The sequence below is a fragment of the Homo sapiens genome, chromosome 5 (genome assembly GCF_000001405.40).
Source record: "Homo sapiens chromosome 5, GRCh38.p14 Primary Assembly".
Lineage (NCBI taxonomy): Eukaryota > Metazoa > Chordata > Mammalia > Primates > Hominidae > Homo > Homo sapiens.
In genome coordinates this window covers 141,434,879-141,453,858 of record NC_000005.10, presented here as the reverse complement: position 1 = coordinate 141,453,858, position 18,980 = coordinate 141,434,879, and the positions used below count along the sequence as shown (strand labels likewise).

General features: G+C 40.0%; 19 protein-coding genes, 1 pseudogene and 1 further gene across 20 annotated transcripts in view, besides 1 other annotated feature; all 21 read right to left on the bottom strand.

Moving 5' to 3' along the window:
• PCDHGA1 (protocadherin gamma subfamily A, 1) overlaps positions 1 to 18,980 on the bottom strand; it is a 182,462-nt gene that overhangs the window by 59,117 nt on the left and 104,365 nt on the right. The window lies entirely within an intron of this gene.
• The window catches only part of PCDHG@ (protocadherin gamma cluster), a 182,295-nt gene that overhangs the window by 59,121 nt on the left and 104,194 nt on the right, over positions 1 to 18,980 (bottom strand).
• Positions 1 to 18,980, bottom strand: part of PCDHGA2 (protocadherin gamma subfamily A, 2) — a 174,216-nt gene that overhangs the window by 59,117 nt on the left and 96,119 nt on the right. The window lies entirely within an intron of this gene.
• The window catches only part of PCDHGA3 (protocadherin gamma subfamily A, 3), a 169,147-nt gene that overhangs the window by 59,117 nt on the left and 91,050 nt on the right, over positions 1 to 18,980 (bottom strand). The window lies entirely within an intron of this gene.
• The window catches only part of PCDHGB1 (protocadherin gamma subfamily B, 1), a 162,877-nt gene that overhangs the window by 59,117 nt on the left and 84,780 nt on the right, over positions 1 to 18,980 (bottom strand). The gene's annotated exons all lie outside the window — the stretch shown is intronic.
• PCDHGA4 (protocadherin gamma subfamily A, 4) overlaps positions 1 to 18,980 on the bottom strand; it is a 157,955-nt gene that overhangs the window by 59,117 nt on the left and 79,858 nt on the right. The window lies entirely within an intron of this gene.
• PCDHGB2 (protocadherin gamma subfamily B, 2) overlaps positions 1 to 18,980 on the bottom strand; it is a 152,982-nt gene that overhangs the window by 59,117 nt on the left and 74,885 nt on the right. The window lies entirely within an intron of this gene.
• Positions 1 to 18,980, bottom strand: part of PCDHGA5 (protocadherin gamma subfamily A, 5) — a 148,814-nt gene that overhangs the window by 59,117 nt on the left and 70,717 nt on the right. The gene's annotated exons all lie outside the window — the stretch shown is intronic.
• The window catches only part of PCDHGB3 (protocadherin gamma subfamily B, 3), a 142,734-nt gene that overhangs the window by 59,117 nt on the left and 64,637 nt on the right, over positions 1 to 18,980 (bottom strand). The window lies entirely within an intron of this gene.
• The window catches only part of PCDHGA6 (protocadherin gamma subfamily A, 6), a 139,085-nt gene that overhangs the window by 59,117 nt on the left and 60,988 nt on the right, over positions 1 to 18,980 (bottom strand). The window lies entirely within an intron of this gene.
• The window catches only part of PCDHGA7 (protocadherin gamma subfamily A, 7), a 130,234-nt gene that overhangs the window by 59,117 nt on the left and 52,137 nt on the right, over positions 1 to 18,980 (bottom strand). The gene's annotated exons all lie outside the window — the stretch shown is intronic.
• The window catches only part of PCDHGB4 (protocadherin gamma subfamily B, 4), a 125,278-nt gene that overhangs the window by 59,117 nt on the left and 47,181 nt on the right, over positions 1 to 18,980 (bottom strand). The gene's annotated exons all lie outside the window — the stretch shown is intronic.
• The window catches only part of PCDHGA8 (protocadherin gamma subfamily A, 8), a 120,343-nt gene that overhangs the window by 59,117 nt on the left and 42,246 nt on the right, over positions 1 to 18,980 (bottom strand). The gene's annotated exons all lie outside the window — the stretch shown is intronic.
• The window catches only part of PCDHGB5 (protocadherin gamma subfamily B, 5), a 115,029-nt gene that overhangs the window by 59,117 nt on the left and 36,932 nt on the right, over positions 1 to 18,980 (bottom strand). The gene's annotated exons all lie outside the window — the stretch shown is intronic.
• PCDHGA9 (protocadherin gamma subfamily A, 9) overlaps positions 1 to 18,980 on the bottom strand; it is a 110,198-nt gene that overhangs the window by 59,117 nt on the left and 32,101 nt on the right. The window lies entirely within an intron of this gene.
• PCDHGB6 (protocadherin gamma subfamily B, 6) overlaps positions 1 to 18,980 on the bottom strand; it is a 104,955-nt gene that overhangs the window by 59,117 nt on the left and 26,858 nt on the right. The window lies entirely within an intron of this gene.
• PCDHGA10 (protocadherin gamma subfamily A, 10) overlaps positions 1 to 18,980 on the bottom strand; it is a 99,989-nt gene that overhangs the window by 59,117 nt on the left and 21,892 nt on the right. The window lies entirely within an intron of this gene.
• PCDHGB7 (protocadherin gamma subfamily B, 7) overlaps positions 1 to 18,980 on the bottom strand; it is a 95,299-nt gene that overhangs the window by 59,117 nt on the left and 17,202 nt on the right. The gene's annotated exons all lie outside the window — the stretch shown is intronic.
• The window catches only part of PCDHGA11 (protocadherin gamma subfamily A, 11), a 91,925-nt gene that overhangs the window by 59,117 nt on the left and 13,828 nt on the right, over positions 1 to 18,980 (bottom strand). The gene's annotated exons all lie outside the window — the stretch shown is intronic.
• Positions 1 to 18,980, bottom strand: part of PCDHGA12 (protocadherin gamma subfamily A, 12) — an 82,469-nt gene that overhangs the window by 59,117 nt on the left and 4,372 nt on the right. The window lies entirely within an intron of this gene.
• Positions 11,433 to 11,933: an enhancer, noted in NCBI's record as "H3K4me1 hESC enhancer chr5:140821493-140821993 (GRCh37/hg19 assembly coordinates)". NCBI's record gives its function as "activates a minimal SCP1, AML or CMV promoter by ChIP-STARR-seq in naive H9 embryonic stem cells {active_cell/tissue: H9 hESC(naive)}" and the evidence as "EXISTENCE:reporter gene assay evidence [ECO:0000049][PMID:30033119]".
• On the bottom strand, positions 11,433 to 13,736 carry PCDHGB9P (protocadherin gamma subfamily B, 9 pseudogene; annotated as a pseudogene).

The following is an 18,980-nucleotide window of genomic DNA, read 5'->3' as shown; positions in this document are numbered from 1 at the left end:
TTTTCAAAGTGCTCTGTGGACTGAAGGGCTAGCAGCCAAGTTTGTCCTTTATGGAACTACTCAAAGTTAATATACCATGGTAACTAAAATTTGAATTATTTTTAGGAGACTTATGTTATTTAAGCTGTAGTAACAAATATTTTTATAGTGAAACTGTTCAAAGCCAGGACTACCTACATAGTGTGTTACCTTTTGTGTAAGAAAGAAGAGGACATAAGAAAATATAAATATGTATAGGTTTTGTTTTTGCGTTTTGCAAAAAGAAACACAGTGAGGATAAACCACAAACTAATGAAATCGATTATCTACAGAGTGTGGTGTGAATGAGGCAGAAGGTATAGGGGAGGAATGACAATTTTCTGAGTACACCTTTTTTTAATAGTTTTGACTTTATGTTAATGTTTTACATATTCAAAAAAGAATACTAGGCTAGGTGTGGTGGCTTATGCCTGTAATACCAGCACTTGGAGGCTAAGGCAGGAGGATCACTTGACCCCAGGAGTTCAGGGTCAGCCTGGGGAAACATAGTGAGACCCCATCTCTAAAATAAATAAATAAATAAATAAATAATTAAAAAATTAGCCAGTCATGGTGGTGTGCACTTGCAGCCCCAGCTATTTGGGAGGCTGAGGTGGGAGGATCGCTTAAGTGCACGAGGTTGAGGCTGCAGTGAGCTGTGATTGTACCACTGGACTCCAGCCTGGGTGACATAGCGAGACCCTATCTCAAAAACAAAACAAAACAAAACAAAACAAAAAAGCAACAGAAAATATACTAATCAACCAGAGTGTGGCAAAACTCTAAAACTGCACATAATAGAAACAAACTTTATTTTAATGAATCACATAACTATACTACAGGTAACTTTTCAGCACAGTACTTTGACAATATACCCTCAGTTTAAAGACAACCAATTGCAAGCAAATCTTCAGCAGCTCTTTCTTACTGTATAATGCCAACTAATAAAAGTGGAATAAATTATTACAAATGGAGTTAGAAAATCATCTCCCCAGAGTGTGGGCTGGACCAAGTGATTTTGCTTCTTATGAACAAACTACAGCAAAAATGATGGTATGTTACTTTCTCAGTTTTCCCTCCCTCCCTTCCTTCTTCCTTCTCTCTCTTCCTCTCTCCCTCCCTCCCTCATTCCTTCCTTTCTTTCTTGACAGGGTTTCATTCTGTGGCCTAGGCTGGAGTGCAGTGGATGGAGCAAATGAGTAAATATATTCATAGCACTGGGAGCCAGGGTTCTTACTGTTGGAAAATAAAAATACAAAGATGGAAAGGGGGAAGGCTAGGAAGAACCAGAACTGGAGGTATCAATATGAACTCACGATTTTGAGGGAGTGTGTGTACAAATATAAATATGGGTGTGTTTATGTGTGTTTTTCCTAGCTCCGTCTGCTGACAAGGCCTAGAAACAGTGACAGCCCATTAGCAGTGAGCATACCTCACACCCAGATCTTAGTTTCTAAATACTATTCCCTACTAAAATGAAGCAAGGCTTTTGGATAAATGGTTCATCTCAGAACTGGAACAAGGAAAGTATGAGTCTCTAATATTTTCTTATATCAGAAAGTAAGAAAGGGTTCAAGAAAATGAGAGAGTTATGGCAAAAGGACACAAGAACCAGCTTGAAGAGGTTCTTATTGGTAACATCTAAAACAATTTGAGGTCAAAATAAAAAATGTTAGTAATAGAATATAACTCATTGGAAAAAACACATGAGCCATATATGAATAAATAAGAAGAGAAAAGAAAGCTCTTTCTTACTGTATAATGCCAACTAATAAAAGTAGAATAAGTTATTACAAATGGAGTTAGAAAATCATCTCCCCAGAGTGTGGGCTGGACCAAGTGATTTTGCTTCTAATGAACAAACTACAGCAAAAATGATGGTATGTCACTTTCTCGGTCTTTCCCTGCCTCCCTACCTCCCTTCCTTCCTCCCTCCCTCCCTTGTTCCTTCCTTTCTTTCTTGACAGGGTTTCATTCTGTGGCCTAGGCTGGAGTGGAGTGGTGTGATCTCGGCTCACTGTAACCTCCGCCTCCTGGGTTCAAGCAATTCTCTGGCCTCAGCCTCCTGAGTAGCTGGGACTATAGGCATGCACCACCAGACCAGCTAATTTTTGTATTTTTAGTAGAGGCAGGGTTTTGTCATGTTACCCAGGCTGGTCTTGAACTCCTGGGCTCAAGCAGTCCACCCTCCTTGGCCTCTCAGAGTGCTGGAATTACAGGTTTGAGCCACCATGCCTAGCCTTGTATGTCACTTTCAAAATTAGGTTTATAAAAAGATTGTGGCTTTCATCACATTTGCCCTCTCTGGCACTCTCCTTTACTTGCTCTAACAGAAGCTGGTTGCCCTATGGAGGTCCACATGGCAAGGAACTGAGGTAGACCTCAAGCTAACAACCAGCAAGGAACTGGAACCCTTAGTCTAACAATCCACAAGGAACTTAATTTTGCCATTAACTATGTGAGAGAGATTAGAAGCGGATCCATCCTCTGTTGACCCTTCAGATAAGACAATAGCCTTAGGTGACACTTTAATTGCTGCCTTGTAAGACTTTGAGGCAGAGGCACTCAGCAAAGCTATACCCAGTCCTGATCCACAAAATTTATGAGATAATAAATGCTTCTTTTAAGCCACTAAGTTTTGGGATAATTTGTTACACAGCAATGGCTAAATAATATACTACCAAAAAAATGTCTAGTCTAAATACAATCATAAGGCTGGGTGTGGTGGCTCACGCCTGTAATCCCAACACTTTGGGAGGTCAAGGTGGGTGGATCACAAGGTCAGGAGTTCGAGACCAGCCTGGCCAATATGGTGAAACCTCGTCTCTACTAAAAAAAATACAAAAAAATTAGCCGGGTGTGGTGGCACATGCCTGTAATCCCAGCTACTTGGGAGGCTGAGGTAGGAGAATTGCTTGAATCTGGGAGGCAGCGGTTGCAGTGAGCCGATATCGCACCACTGCACACCAGCCTGGGTGACAGAGCAAGACCCCATCTCAAAAAAAAAAAAATAATAATAATAATATTAAATAAATAAATAAATACAATCATGAGGTCCGGGCACGGTGGCTCATGCCTGTAATCCCGGCACTTTGGGAGGCCAAGGCGGGCGGATCACCTGAGGTCAGGAGTTGGAGACCATCCTGGGCAACATGGCAAAACCCCGTTTCTACTAAAAGTACAAAAATTAGCCAGGCATGGTGGCAGGCATCTGTAATCCCAGCTACTCAGGAGGCTGAGGCAGGAGAATTGCTTGAACCTGGGAGGCAGAAGTTGCAGTGAGCCGAGACTGCGCCACTGCATTCCAGCCTGGGTGACAAGAATGAGACTCCATCTCAAAACAAACAAACAGACAAACAAACAAACAAACTCTATATATAAAATCACGAGGAAACATAAAACAAATATAAATTAAAGGCATTATACAAGACAAATGGCTTCTAGTCTTTACAAATGTCAGTTTCATATAAACAAACAAGGCTGAGGAACTGTTTCAGATTAAAGTAGATTAAAGAGACATGGCAACTAGGCCACACATGGTGGCTCACGCCTGTAATCCCAGCACTTAGCTGAGGTGGGCAGATCACTTGAGGTCAGGAGTTCAAGACTAGCCTGGCCAACATAGTGAAACCTTGTCTCTACTAAAAATACAAAAATTAGCTGGGTGTGGTGGGAGTGTGGTGGCACATGCCTGTAGTCCCAGCTACTCAGGAGGCTAAGGCAGGAGAATCATTTGAACCTGGGAGGCGGAGGTTGCAGTGAGCCAAGATCATACCACTGCATTCCAGCCTGGGCGAAAGAGTGAGACCCTGTCTCAAAAAAAAAAAAAAAAAAGAGACATGGCAACTAAATGCAATGTGTGATATTTTGGACTAAAAAAAATTACTATGAGGTATAGTAAAATATACTATAAGGTATGGTAGAATTTAAATATGGACTATAGGCTAAATAATTATATTGCATTGATGTTAAATTTTCTGATTTTTATTATTAAAATTTAATTATATAAAAGAATGTCCTTGTTAGGAAATACACAATGAGGTATTTAGGAATAAAGAAACATAATTTCTACAACTTACTCTCAAATGTCATAAAAATAATCATGTCATAAAAAAATCATATCATATAAAAATAATGTGTTTGTGTACATACACACAAACATATATACATACACACTTGGGTGTGTATGTAAATATGTATATATAGATACATCTTTTTAAAAAACTTTTTTACTTTTTTTTTTTTTTTTTTTGAGACAGAGTCTTGCTCTGTCGCCCAGGCTGGAGTGCAGTGGTGCGATCTCGGCTCACTGCAACCTCCGCCTCCCAGGTTCAAGCATTTCTCATGCCTCACCCTTAGGCATGGGGTACCAGGCCTGGCTAATTTTTGTATTTTTAGTAGAGATGGAGTTTTATCATGTTGGCCAGGCTGGTCTTGAACTCCTGGCCTCAAGTAATCCACCTGCCTCAGCCTCCCAAAGTGCTGGGATTACAGGAGTGAGCCACTGCACCTGGCCTACAGATACAATTATATAATACATATAATTCACCCGGTGCATCCGGGTGAAGGAGATACAGTTCTTTGTACAATTCTTGCAACTCCTTTGAAAATTTGAAATCATTTCAAAACAGAAAGTTAGAATTAACACTTCTTGTGAAAATACCTAAGAAAATTACACCTATTTCCTCTTTGACCCAGCAATTTCAATTCCATTTCTGGGAATTCATCCCAAAGATATACTGCATATGTAAAAACTGATGTAGGTACAGGGCTATTCAATAGCGCTCATTTATGAGACTGGTTAATAATCCAAAGGAATGCTAAGCAACTGTTAAAAAAAACAGCTTTCTATATATTAATATGGAAGTTCTTTTTTGTTTGTTTGTTTGTTTTTTTGAGTTGCAGTCTTGCTCTGTCGCCCAGGCTGGAGTGCAGTGGCACGATCTCGGCTCACTGCAAGCTCCGCCTCCCAGGTTCACGCCATTCTCCTGCCTCAGCCTCCAGAGTAGCTGGGACTACAGGCGCCCGCCATCACGCCTGGCTAATTTTTTTTTTTGTATTTTTAGTACAGACGGGGTTTCACCGTGTTAGCCAGGATGGTCTCGATCTCCTGACCTCGTGATCCTCCCGCCTCGGCCTCCCAAAGTGCTGCGATTACAGGCGTGAGCCACCGCGCCCGGCCAATATGGAAATATTTTTAAAGGATATAATGTGAAGAAAGGAAGATATAAAGTGGTGTATAGTATTTTATCTTTTTGTAAAAAAAATGGGGAAATAAAAATATATGTACATATTTGCATAAGAAATGCTGACAGGATGCTTAATAAAGTTATAAAATGTTTACCTACAGGGGACAGGAGGAAGCAAGGGTGGAATAGGAGTAGGATAGGGATGGAAGTCAGACTTCTCAATATATACATAGTATATTGTTTTGATTTTTAAAACCATGTAAATGTATTTCCTATTCAAAAATAAAATAAAGAAAACTACTAAGATTGAGGTACATGGCTATAAAGATTCAAAGAAAAGATTCCTTGAGATATTAAGTGGAAAGAGCAAGTTGCACAACAGTATATATACTGTAAAATGATCCTGTTGTGCAAAGAAAACCCCACACATACATTCGCATACACACAGAAAATGTTTGTAAGTGTACATAACCAGGGATGAATAGTAGTGATCTTTCAGGGGTGAGTCTGAGGTATAGTGAGGGTGGGGGAGGCTAATTTTCTTTTCTTTTAATTTTTTTTTTTTAAGATGGCATTTCGTTCATGTTGCCCAGGCTGGAGAGCAATGGCATGATCTTGGCTCACTGCAACCTCCACCTCCTGGGTTCAAGCGATTCTCATGCCTCAGCCTCCCGAGTAGCTGGGATTATAGGTGTCCGCCACCATGCCCAGCTAATTTTTGTATTTTTAGTGGAGACAGAGTTTCACCATGTTGGCCAGGCTGGTCTCGAACTCCTGACCTCAGATGATTCACCCACCTCGGCCTCCCAAAGCACTGGGATTACAGGCGTGAGCCACCACGCCCAGCCAATTTTATTTTCTTAAATTTATTTTCAATTAAAGTATAATTTATATACAGTCACATGCAAGACTCTTAAGTTCAATGAGTTTTGGAAAATGTGTACATCCTTATAACCCATCCCTCTATCAAGATATGGAACAGTTCTAACTTCCTGGGGGGGAAAATTCTACCATCATTCATACTGTTGGTTTCAACTTTAAAATGCTAAGGACTCTATAGGATGTTTAAGGTATGTGTGGACATAGAATCCTCCAAGTGTACTCATAACATTAAAACCCAACAATTTTGTTATGATTGTTATGCATCTTTTATCCTAAACATTCCTTCTATGCAGTTTTACAGATGGTGAAGAAAAACTGAGGTTAAAAATTTCCTCCGGGTGCGGTGGCTCACGCCTGTAATCCCAGCACTTTGGGAGGCCGAGGTGGGCAGATCACCAGGGTCAGGAGTTTGAGACCAGCCTGACCAATATGATGAAACCCGTCTCTACTAAAAATACAAAAATTAGCCGGGTGTGGTGGCATGTGCCTGTAGTCCCAGCTACTTGGGAGGCTGAGACAGAAGAATCACTTGAACCCGGGAGGCGGAGGTTGCAGTGAGCCGAGATCAAGCCATTGCACTCCAGCCTGCGCGACAAGAGCAAGACCCCGCTTAAACAAAAACAAAAACAAAAAACAAACAAACAAAAAAATCCATGGAGCACATATAATCATGTGAAAGAAAATTAAACAACAAAAATTAAAACAGCCTGACACATTTTAATAGAATTCCAGACACAGAAAAAAAACAAAACAAAACTGAACACTAGGACTAGTCTGAAGAGTGGAGTATGAATTAGACAGCAAATTTCCCTGGGTGCTGGATGTTTCTTACAGTGAAAAAGAGATCAGGAAGATAAATAAAACACAAAAGTAGCTCAGCCATGAACCCCAAAACATACCAGTGTAGAGCTATCAGGAAGCTTATTATGCTCAGCCTTATAAGGATCTACCCATCTGACTAGATGATCACAATGGAAGAACTCAGAGTAAAAGAATGGTAACCGGCTGGGCGCGGTGGCTCACGCCTGTAATCCCCACACTTTGGGAGGCCGAGGCGGGCAGATCAGAGTTCGAGACCAGCCTGGCCAATATGGTGAAATGCTGTCTTGTACTAAAAATACAAAAATTAGCCAGGCGTGGTGGTGCACGCCTGTAGTCCCAGCTACTCAGGAGGCTGAGGCAGAAGAATCACTTGAACCTGGGAGGCAGAGATTGCAGTGAGCAGAGATAGGGCCACTGCACTCCAGCCTGGGTGACAGAGCGAGACTCCATCTCAAAAAAAAAAAAGAATGATGACCATATGTCTAATCACACACTGAATATCTGCACTGTTTCTCAGATCCTTCAAATGAACATGGCTGGAACTCAACTCGATTTCTCTTAAATCTATCATTCTTTAGTCTTCCATTCTCATCAAATGGTAGCTTTGTCCATCCAGTTCCTTAATGTGGAAACCCAGGAATCACTCTTAATCCCTGCTCCCCATTTATCCATTGTATTTATTCAGTTAATAATATTTCACTGAAGATCTACCACTTGCCAGGCAACACAACAATATTTTCAGACACCTAGGAATATAATAATAAACAAAACACCCCCTGCCCTCATGAAATTTATATTCCACCTATTCCATTATTAAGTCTTATTGAACCCATTTCCTAAATATATCTATAATTCATCCATTTATTTCTACATCCACTGCCTCCCCTTTAATCCAAGCCAGCTCTTCTTCCATTTCTTACCAGGAATATTGCCATAGTCTCCTATCTTATCTTCCTATTTCTATTTATAACCCTCATAAATCAATTCTCCATATAGCAGCCAGAGTAAGCTTAATAATTCAAATATCTTGTCACTGCCTTGTTTAAAATATTTTAATAGCTCCTAAGTACAAGGGTATTTAGAACAAAATCCAGAATTTTAAGTGTGATTTACAAGGCTCTCCCTGCCTTATTAGTTTCATCTATTTATTTTCTGTTTCTAGCCTCCCTAGCCCTTTTAAATTGCTTGAGTCACACCTTTTATTTTTTAAAAAGATCTTTACACATGCTATTTCCTCTGCCTGACAATTTCTTTTTTACTTTCCTTGTTACCTAGATAACTTCTACTCATCCTATTAATCTATTCATCTCTCTAAATATCACTTTCCGAAAAAAAGAAAGCCTTCCTTGACCTTCAGATTAGGCGAAGCTTCCCTACTATAAGCTTTCTCTTAGTGCTTTTGTATTTCTCCTTGTTGGCTTTTATCAGACCTGTAAAATATCATGTATTAGAATAGGGCCCATTAACTCAGGAATCATATATGCCTTGTTCATTGCTGCATCCTTAGTCCATAGGTCAGTGCCTTGCATATAGCAGACAGTTAATAAATATTTGTTATGTAAATGAATGAATGAACCACCCAGGACCAGACTTGGGCAGACACCAATGTTTACTGTTTCTGGATGGGTTCTCTCAACCTACAAACTGAAGAGAATGGAAGCCTGAACTTATGCAGAGTGGTTTCGACTTATATTCTCACACAATATAGTGTAAGAATAGAGCACTTTGCACCTCTTACTTTTCAAAAGCATATAGAATACATAAAAACATAGTTTTTCATTTTTCTGTAAACTAGAAATGAACAATTAGAAGATACAATTTTAAAAATACTATTTACAATAACATTAGAAAACATCAAATATGTAGGGACAATTTAATGAGAAATATACATGACCTCTCTACACTGAAAACTATACAACATAGCTGAGAGAAATTAAAGACCTAATTAAATGGAAATATATACCATGTTCATGGATTTGAAGTGTCAATATTGTTAAGATGATCCTCCTCCCTCCTTCCCTCTTTCCCTGATAAAGGTATAGATGCAATGCCATCCCATTCAAAAATCCTACAAGCTTTGTCCTGTAGTAAGACTTTGTAGCAAGACTTACTATAAAGCTACAATAATTGAGACAGTGTGCTATTAGTAAAAGAATAGACAAATGAAACATGATCAAGAATATAGAAATAGAACTACATATATCAGTGAAATGACTTTCAACAAAGGCACCAAGCAAATTCAACAGAAAGAGGAAAATATTTTTAATAAATGGTATTGAAAAAAATGGGAAATAACTTCAACCCCTACCTCAATGAACTGGTGCATCATGCCACATGCAAAAATCAATTTTAAATAAGGTAAGTAGAAAGGAAGAGTCAAAAGTGTCAAATAAGTGCCTTTTGCTCACTAGACACAGTCACTGTCTCACCTACTATACTGCTAGAGCAAAGTATTACACAATATAAATCCAGTACGCGACCGGGCGCAGTGACTCATGCCTGTAATCCCAGCACTTTGGGAGGCCAAGGAGGGAAGATCACCTGAGGTTGGGAGTTCAAGACTAGCCTGACCAACATGGAGAAACCCCGTCTCTACTAAAAATACAAAATTAGCTGGGCGTGGTGGCACATGCCTGTAATCCTAGCTACTAGGGAGGCTGAGGCAGGAGAATCACTTGAACCTGGGAGGCGGAGGTTGCAGTGAGCCGAGAGCATGCCATTGCACTCCAGCCTGGGCAACAAGAGTGAAACTCCATCTCAAAAAAAAAAAAAAAAAAAAAAAAAAAAAAAAAAAATCCAGTACACACAAGTGACACATATCTGTTGAGATACTTCACTTTTCTTGGTTTCCAATCCTTAGCAGACTTTTCAGGTGAGCATCAGAATCTAGATTGAAGATGCCAAATTATCTGATTTACTGAATTCCTTTTAGAAGCCAATACCCAGGTAGCATTTAAAATAAAATTAACATAGCTTAGATGGACCACAGAATACATACCAATAAGGAAACCTGCTGTGAGTAGTCAGACACACTTTTATGAATTTTCCTACTAATATTCCTTTTCTCTTGACTTATCAGTAATTTTTTCAGTTTTCAGACTTTCCATATTACCCATTTTACCTAATTATGTTTTCCAAAGGTAACTGTTTCCTTTTCATTTTTTTTGTCTTTTTGGTAATATTGTATATTGTAAGCTTCCAATTCACTGATAGGGAAATGTATGAGGAATTTTATATGCAAATGTTATTCTATAATTTTTGAAGTGTTTGTAAACTACTAGTTCAGTAAAATGCTATGCTAACATTATCTGGATCAATTTTTACAATCACCTGATTATAAGAACATTTCATATACCACATTCTGTTTTAGCTCAAGTCCATTTAAAGCATTTGAATTGGAACAATTTCCCAAGCTTTAAATAAGTCATAAGGAGAGAAGCTCTTTATTTGTTTGTTTGTTTTGGGACAGGGTCTAATTCTGTCACCCAGACTGGAGTACAGGAGCGCAACCACAGCTCACTGCAGCTTCAATCTCCCCAGACTCAGGTGATCCTCACACCTCAGCCTCCCAAGTAGCTGAGACCACAGGCATGGACCACTAAACCTTGTTAATTTTTGTTTTTTTTTTTTGTAGAGATGGGTTTTTGCCATGCTGTCCAGGCTGGTCTCAAACTCCTGGGCTCAAGTGATCCACCCGCCTTGGCGCCCCAAAGTGCTAAGATTATAGATGCGCCTGGCGAGACAAGCTCTTTGTACTATAGAGAATGATGCAGTGGACATGGGTAGGGAAATAAAATGCAGTATAACTTATGATAGTGTTCTTAATCTGGTTTGAAAAGCAAGGTTCAGCTTGAGAAGGAGACTGGAACACTCAGTCATAAGACGCTCTTCAGTGGAACAATAATTTTCAAAGTTTAGGTCTGGCAACTTCCATTAGTCATATTCTTAGATTTACTGAAATTATAGGCTAACTTTATCAGCCAGAATGTCTTTTTGCAGTGAGAGGAAGTTTCTTAAATAGAAAATGAAACAGTTGTGTGCTGAAGGAGAAGTGATAAGCAGGGATTCTGAGTTGTAAATTTACATCTCTCATACTACAATGGCCAAGATTTGTCCCTCCCTTATTTTTGGATCAGTACAATTTGAATATCAAAGTAAAATTATAAAATATAATCAAACACATACAAATATATATAATCAAAACATGCTCCTTACCTACAGGCCCCAAATGCTCTGGCATGTCTGATACTCTTGTCTGCCTGACTACTGTCCCTCAAGCTCACCATGCCAAATATTTCTCATCTTAGGCCTTTGGTCTTGCTGCTAGAAATGCTTTTTACTGAGATCTCTGAAAATATTTAATGCTAGAAGAAAACCTGCTTGTGACTGAACTTAGTTTCATCAAGAATTTTTCACCTTGGAGAGTGGATTCTGCCCAAGCAATTAGAATAATCACAATCATCCCCTTCCCCAAGGGGCTTTCTGCAGTGAAACTGCTATTGAGTCCTGAGGGGTAGGGATTCAAAAAAGAAGTTCACTCAGCCCTGGATTCGTAGGAGAAGCACACACCTGGTAGGAATATGGCATCATAGAGCTACAGTTACCCAGAAACCTGGGGCTTAGCGCGGGATAGACATCCGTGGGAAAGACTCAGACAGGATCATTTTGGGGTCTTCGGCACTTTAAAACCAGCACAAACAATGCAATCAGGAAGAATAAAAAGGAAATTAAAGCTAAGGCAATCACCAGATATAAATTAATTTTGGATTCAGGCTGTAGCTTTGCAGAGTGATCGCTGAGGTCTGGCAGAGTCTCCTGCAGGCTGTCGGCGACGAGGGGCGGTAGTGGTGGTGACGTGGCGGTAGCGAGAGGAGCGGCTGTCCACCGCAGTGCACCGCGACCAGTAGGCGCTGGCGAGTCGCTTTCCTGTGGCCCATCGTGCGAGCTGTCAGCACCTCGTCGGTGCGCATTCCAGGCTGAAGAGCCTGGGCTTGCTGGCCTGCAGCACGTGGTAGGACAGCCACGCATTGTGTCTCACATCTGCGTCTACAGCCACCACCTTGGTGACCAGGTAGCCAGGCTCCGCGGCGTGCAGCACCATATCCAAGAGCGCGAAGCCATTGCGCTCCAGAGCTGGGGTACAGCACCCGCGGTGCGTTGTCATTCAGGTCGTCCACCAACACGCGCAGGCTCACGTTGACGCCGAGCGCGAGCTAGTCCTGGTCGCGGGCCTGCAGCGTGAGCTTGAAGGCTCGCGGCTGCTCTTGGTCGAAGGCGCACTGTGCGCTCAAGGACACCTAGAATCACAGCGCCTGTGGCTCCAGGTCACTGGCCACGATGGAATAGGGAACTTGGCTGTTGGGTCCCAAGTCTAGGTTGGAGGTGTCTACTTGCACACTATGGAGGCTTTGGGAAGATTGTTCTTGGCCACGTGGACGACGTAGGAGGCCTGGTAGAAAACCAGAGCATTGTCGTTGGCATCGCCAATGAGTAGGGTGATGCTTGGGCTGGACGAGAGGGTTGGTTTGCCTCTGTCAGTGGCAGTGATGCTGATGTTATACCTTGGGTCTGTTCCTGGTCCACGGCCCCATTTGTTACAAGCATGTAGTTAATTATTGGAGGAAGATTTTTCTCAAGGTGCATTTTCTTATATCAGACATGTGACCTCGTTTTCTCCCGAATCCAGATCTTGTGATTTAAAGATCTTGTGATTTAAATCCTGGACAGTGATTACTGTCCAAGGTGCAGAATCTTTGGGAATCATTGTGGAATTAGAAGTAAAAATCGCCTCTAGGATATTGTCATTATCTTCTAGAAATTCGGTCTCAACTGTACACTGGACAATGAGTCCCTCTCTGTCACTTGCTACCAAAACCATGGAAATTAAAAATCTTTAAAAGTCCAATGTACTTAAAGTTTTCATTTCTCCACTATTTGATCAAGGCCAAACTAGATATGGGTACTCTGGGTTGTGAAGCCATATGTGATCTCTGCCTTGACACTCTAGTCCTGGTTGGTGGCCCTCACTCTCAGCACAGGAGTGCCCGGATGCACATCTTCCTGAAGGCCGACGCTGTACACATCCTAGATGAACACAGGGTTGTCATTGGCTTCAACCAATAGGATCAGGAGTTGAGTGATGCTGCTTTGTTGGGGGGCCGTCTAAGGCTGCTAGCACTAAGGGATGGGAGCTCTGCTTTTCCTAGTCAAGCAGCTTCTCTAACACAGGATCAACATATGTCTTTCCACTGTTGGTCACTTTTACTTCAAAGAGAAATATAGAGTTGCTGCTAAGGTGATAATTTTGTAAGGAATTTCTCTCAACATCAGGATCTTCTGCAGGTTCTGTTGCAAATCTTGTTCCAGCTGGGTAAACTCAGAGATACGTAACTTAATAACATTCCTGCTGAACCGTGGTGCATGATTCTTCATATCCTGAATCTCCATATTAATGTGAAAAACATTTAAAGAATTTTCAACTACCGTTTGTTCATTTTTTTTGAGATGGCGCCTTGCTCTGTCACCCAGGCTGGAGTGCAGTGGTGCGATTGCCTCTCGGGTTCAAGCGATTCTCCTGCCTCGGCCCCCCGAGTAGCTAGGATTATAGGCCTGCACCACCATGCCCAGTAATTTTTGTATTTTTAGTAGAGACAGGGTTTCACTATGTTGGTCAGGCTGGTCTCGAACTCCTGACCTCGTAATCTGCTCGCCTCGGCCTCCCAAAGTGCTGGGATTACAGGTGTGAGCCACCATGCCTGGCCTTCAACTATTTCAAAGCGTTATGGCCCAAGCTATAATTGGGGGGCGTATCTGCTCCTGATCCATTCAGTCATTCACAAGTAAGTCTCCACTTTCCCCACTTAGAATGAAGTATTATTCCTCAGCATTAACCCGAAGCTTTCAAGTGGGCATGTCCTCGACACTGAGTCCCAGATCCTTGGCAAGGTTTCCCACCACCAAACTCTTGGCCAGCTCCTCTAGGACTGAATAACGGATCTGCATCATAGAGAATGCCCAGCAGGATAGAAATAGCAGGAAAGGAGGCAGTAGTCGCCTTGGTTCTACCCAGACTGTCAGTCCAGCACCATTCCCCACCTTTTCCACAGTTAGAGTTGCTGCTGCTCCAGCCCAAATAAGCCCCTTTTCAAACTCTTCTTGGATTATAGAATCTCCAGCCAAGAAGGAGCTGAACTCATTGCCTGTAAATCCGTTCCGTTCCTGCTTATAATTTGTAGAACTAGGAGCCATAATAGGAATGTTGTGGGTCTGCTCTTGGATTTGCATTCCATGAAATTAGAAAAGCCACCAAGCCGGAATGTCTGGGGATTGGCTCATTTATCTCTGTTTCCAGACTGGCCAACAGTGGCACTCTGAGTCCCTACTCTAGAACTGCAGCCTGAAGAAATGAGAGGACAGCGTTCTGTAGAGTTAGTTGAGAGCAGAGAGAAAGACGTTTCTCACTGGAATTTGCAAGCTGAAAGGCAGCAGTGCAGTCTTGCTCCCGCAATAAAATATTCCTGGGAATTTATAACCTCAGTGATGTTAGCACATGAAGTCGAAGTGATGACTTATTTTTATTTCTTCTTGATGTTTGAGTATTTGTAGGCTTAGAATCTTTCTTTCCATTCCCACTTCCATGCCTGGGCTTTACTTTTTCCATGGAACACAGTCTCAGAATGAACTGTTGGCTGAATCTTCAGCTGAAATTGTATAGGAAGCTTCTAAGAATTTTCACATATGGATTTTTTTTTTTTTTTGTCAGAGTCTCACTATGTCGCCCAGGCTGGAGTGCAGTGGCGTGATCTCAGCTCACTGCAACCTCTGTCTCCCGGGTTCAAGTGATTCTCTTGCCTCAGCCTCCTGAGTAGCTGGGATTACAGGCGCCTGCCACACAATATGGAAATCTTATGAACTGAGGCATCTATTTTCAAAATTTGACAAACAAACCAGGTCCTTAGCCTTTTAAGATAAGTCAGACAGTTGGCAGGGTGCGGTGGCTCATGCCTATAATCCCAGCACTTTGGGAGGCCAAGGCAGGTGGATCACCTGAGGTCAGGAGTTCAAGAGCAGCCTGGCCAACTTGATGAAACTCTGTCTCTACTAAAAATATTTTAAAAAATTAGCTGGGCATGGTGACAGGCGCCTGTAATCCCAGCTACTGGAGAGGCTGAGGCAGGAGAATCGCTTGAACCCAGGAGGCAGAGGTTGCAGTGAGCTGAGATCACACCACTTGCACTCCAGCCTGGGTGACAGAGCAAGACTCCATCCCCTACTCCAAATATATATATACATATATGTGTGTGTGTGTGTGTATATATATATATATATATATATATATATATATATATATATATATGTATGTATGTATGTATGTATATCAGACAGCTGCCTCTTATTAGGGCTTAGATATAGAGGAAAAGTCCATGTAAAATAATTGGTTTTGCACTATGATTCTTTTTTCTCCAAGAGACCACTTTCCAATAATTGAACTCAAGCATTGTATTGAGTACTTAGAAGGTGTACAAACTACTGTGTGAAATACTTCAGAGAGTTAATGATGAACTAAGAAATTATATCTGCCCTCAATGACAATACACAGAGTAGATCCTTATATGACATGTATAAGAAAAATTATGGTGGTACCAACTTCTTTTACATACAGATTAAATTATTTTGTTTGATTCTATGGTCTCTTCAATGACAGTTTTTTAAAAACATTTTCCTGAACCAGAGCCCTTCCCATATGGTATCCAGAAGTCTCATCCTTTATAAAATATTTTTTCCAATTAGCTTTGCCATAGGCTGGCTATCTTTTGCCATTAATATTTTAGGAATGCATCCTAAACAGTATGCCCTGTTACTGGTAATTTTCCATTAAGTATGGTTTCTTAAAAGTGAACTCAAAGTGGTCGGGCATGGTGGCTCACACCTGTAATCTCAGCTATTTGGGAGGCTGAGGTGGGGTGGGTGCATCCCAAGATCAAGAGATCAAGACCATTCTGGCCAATATGGTGAAACCCCATCTCTACTAAAAATACAAAAATTAGCTGGGTGTGGTGGCGTGTGCCTGTAGTCCCAGCTACTCGGGAGGCTAAGGCAGGAGAATAGCATGAACCCAGGAGGCAGAGGTTGCAGTGAGCCAAGATAGTGCCACTGCACTCCAGCTTGGCGACAGATTGAGACTCTGTCTCAAAAAAAAAAAAAAAGGTGAACTCAAAGTGTAACATTAGAGGGTAACTGTGTCTCTTTCTTGAGATTTAGCCTCATCAGTTTGATCAACATCTCTTCGAAACTATGTGTTTGCTTTTCTGAACCTGACATCTTATATGGGGATAAAGCAGATTTTTACACCAGAACTATCCAATTCATGATCACAGCTATACTCTGTTACATGTCATAAAGAAAACTGATACAATTTGCTCATTTGTCATCAGCCTTATAATTCATTGAAAAGTGATCTACGAGATTAAATATGCTATAAAAGTATAGTATAGTCTCCTCAACATTCCTATGCTATTGCTGCTTCAAAAAGCATAATACTTCTGGAATGAAAGCAGTGGATGAATGTCTTCTGACTGATTACATTCCAATTTTAGGTACTATAAAACAGTGAAGCTACAAATTTTAAATTATAGCTGAACGCTTTAACTTGTTAGATGAAATGGATACATACACATCTGTCATACACATAAAAAGACAAGGAAAGTCCTTGACATAATTTTATGACTGGAATCAGAATAAATGTAAACACATCCAAACCCATTGCCCAGTTAGTCTCAGAAAACAATCAACACATATGTTAATTATGAATCCTAAATTATCAACAAGTGTCCTAAAAATCCTAAAGCTAAGCCGTTAGTTTCAATTCTTATATGGCCCAAACCAAATAATGATCACCAGCCTTCTGGTTTCGGTGATCCATTTTCTGGTGAAATTATCTAAGATCCCATTGAAGTAAACTGCTTCTTTAAAATAAGTTTCACAAGATCCTTGTTTAGATTTCACTATGGTTCAGACAAAGAAAAAGTAACACTCACAAAATTGTCTCATATAAAAATCTTTCCCCCATCTTTTATGGCCTAAAACTGTGGCTTCTCAATCAAGAATGTGCCTAGGCACTTAAGATTTTTAAACCAGCTGTCACAAAAATTTTAGAACAGTTTTATTTCCATCCACAAATCATTCCATTATACCATATGGAGAAGCACACAAAAATCATTATTATTTTTCCCAACAGAACATCGAGTGTGCTGGCATTGAAAATATAAATCCTTTTTTTGGTCAACCACTAAAAATGGCTACTGTTAATTAATTGCATGTTGTGAATCAGATTTTTGTTAGCCCTAGCCATCACCACGACCTTTCAAATTAGATATGATTATTCCTACTTTGCTGAAGCTCAAAGAGATTAAATAACTTGCTAAAGGTGACACAGTTAACAATTTACCTAATTGCAAAGCTGCTATCCTTCTATGATACATCTGAAAATTCAGAATCCTGGTATCAGGTAATCCCCAGAGTACATTATTTGTTTATCCATTCATTCAACAACTATTTAATAAAGCCTATTCAGCTTAAACTGGAAACATAGTTGATTGAAGTCACTGATATTTGAGATATGGTCTAACAGTCTTGACTATTCATGCTCTAACTCTCAATGATTTGTTCCTAAATCAAGTTAGGTGAGCAGAGGTCAGAATAATTAGACCATGTTAGCTTAGTTTCCCAAGTCATTTGTTTTCCTATTATGTCTTTCTTTCTATTTGACTATATATGAGAACTGTCCATATGATAAACATTTTGGTAGTTCATACAAGATGATGGAGGAGAGAGGTTTCATTGTCCTCTATTTCTCTCAATATTACCTATAGAACACTGTACTTATTAAATTCTATTTGAAAACTAATGTAAATACAAATTTAGTATTTTTAGATAAATTCAAATACTTTCTTTCAAAAAATCACACAAGTAGAACCACACACTCTATATTTTGCCCCCTTTTTTGGTCTCAGAAGCAGCAACTGCCGCATTTTAGAGCCCTTGGATGTCTTTCATTCTCTAAGGGGTTTCCAATCTCTTTTCTGGGTTTTAACTATTGTATCTTTCAAAGTAGATAGGCAGCAAACAAAGAAGAAAGAAAAAATAATTGGGACGTTATGTTTCCCTGCACCTTTACAGAATTCACCAAAAGAAATCAAGCAATGCTTTTCAAAGAGTAATACACTTTAGCATTCAGTGTCTGTAACCACTCTACAATAAGCATAAAGTTCTCAGAAAACACTTGGAATCTGTGCACGTTTCAGAAATTTTCCCATAGTTGTAAAAGTTATGGGGAATTTAATGTAAAAAGCAGGCGATATTACTGCAAATTTGCCCCAGTACTAAAAAAAGCACTCAAAACACATTTTGTTAATTCTGAATATTCCACAAAGTCATCATTAGTATCATTAGTGTAGGAAATGGGCAAAAGAAATGTCTAACTTGGAAACACATACAGATATCGTATTAATGAAATGCATAACAGAAGTGAAAAATAGTCTTTACCATTTTTCGTCATGGCAATACGGTATATTGTATATTTAAGTGATAAAATTTTAAATGCAGAAGAAATAAATTCACTATATTTGGAAGTTCATGAATGATTTAAAACCATGAAATGACTTGGGATACTGAGAAAGTATAAATGGACATATCCCTAATGGCCAGAAAGAATTACTGAACTTTGAAAGAAAGTAAATTCACTTTATGAATTTGCTAGCCATCTCAAGTGTAGTTAAAAGCCACTCTATTTACAAAAGTTTATCACAATTTTATTTATATTTTCCATTGAATTAGATTTCTCCCCCCTAGATAAACAGATCAGTTGTTATCAGACGGTCTACACAAAACTGCTGCATGGTCAATGGGAAAAAAATAAAAGTGGGAAAAGAGCATTATCATTGATAAATTCAGCTAGAAAATGATATAGAGTATTAACAAAGTAATTTTATAAATTGTTAATAAATTATATCTATTATATAAAATATATGTACATAAATAAGGTATGAGGGAAGGGGACTGGATTGTTGT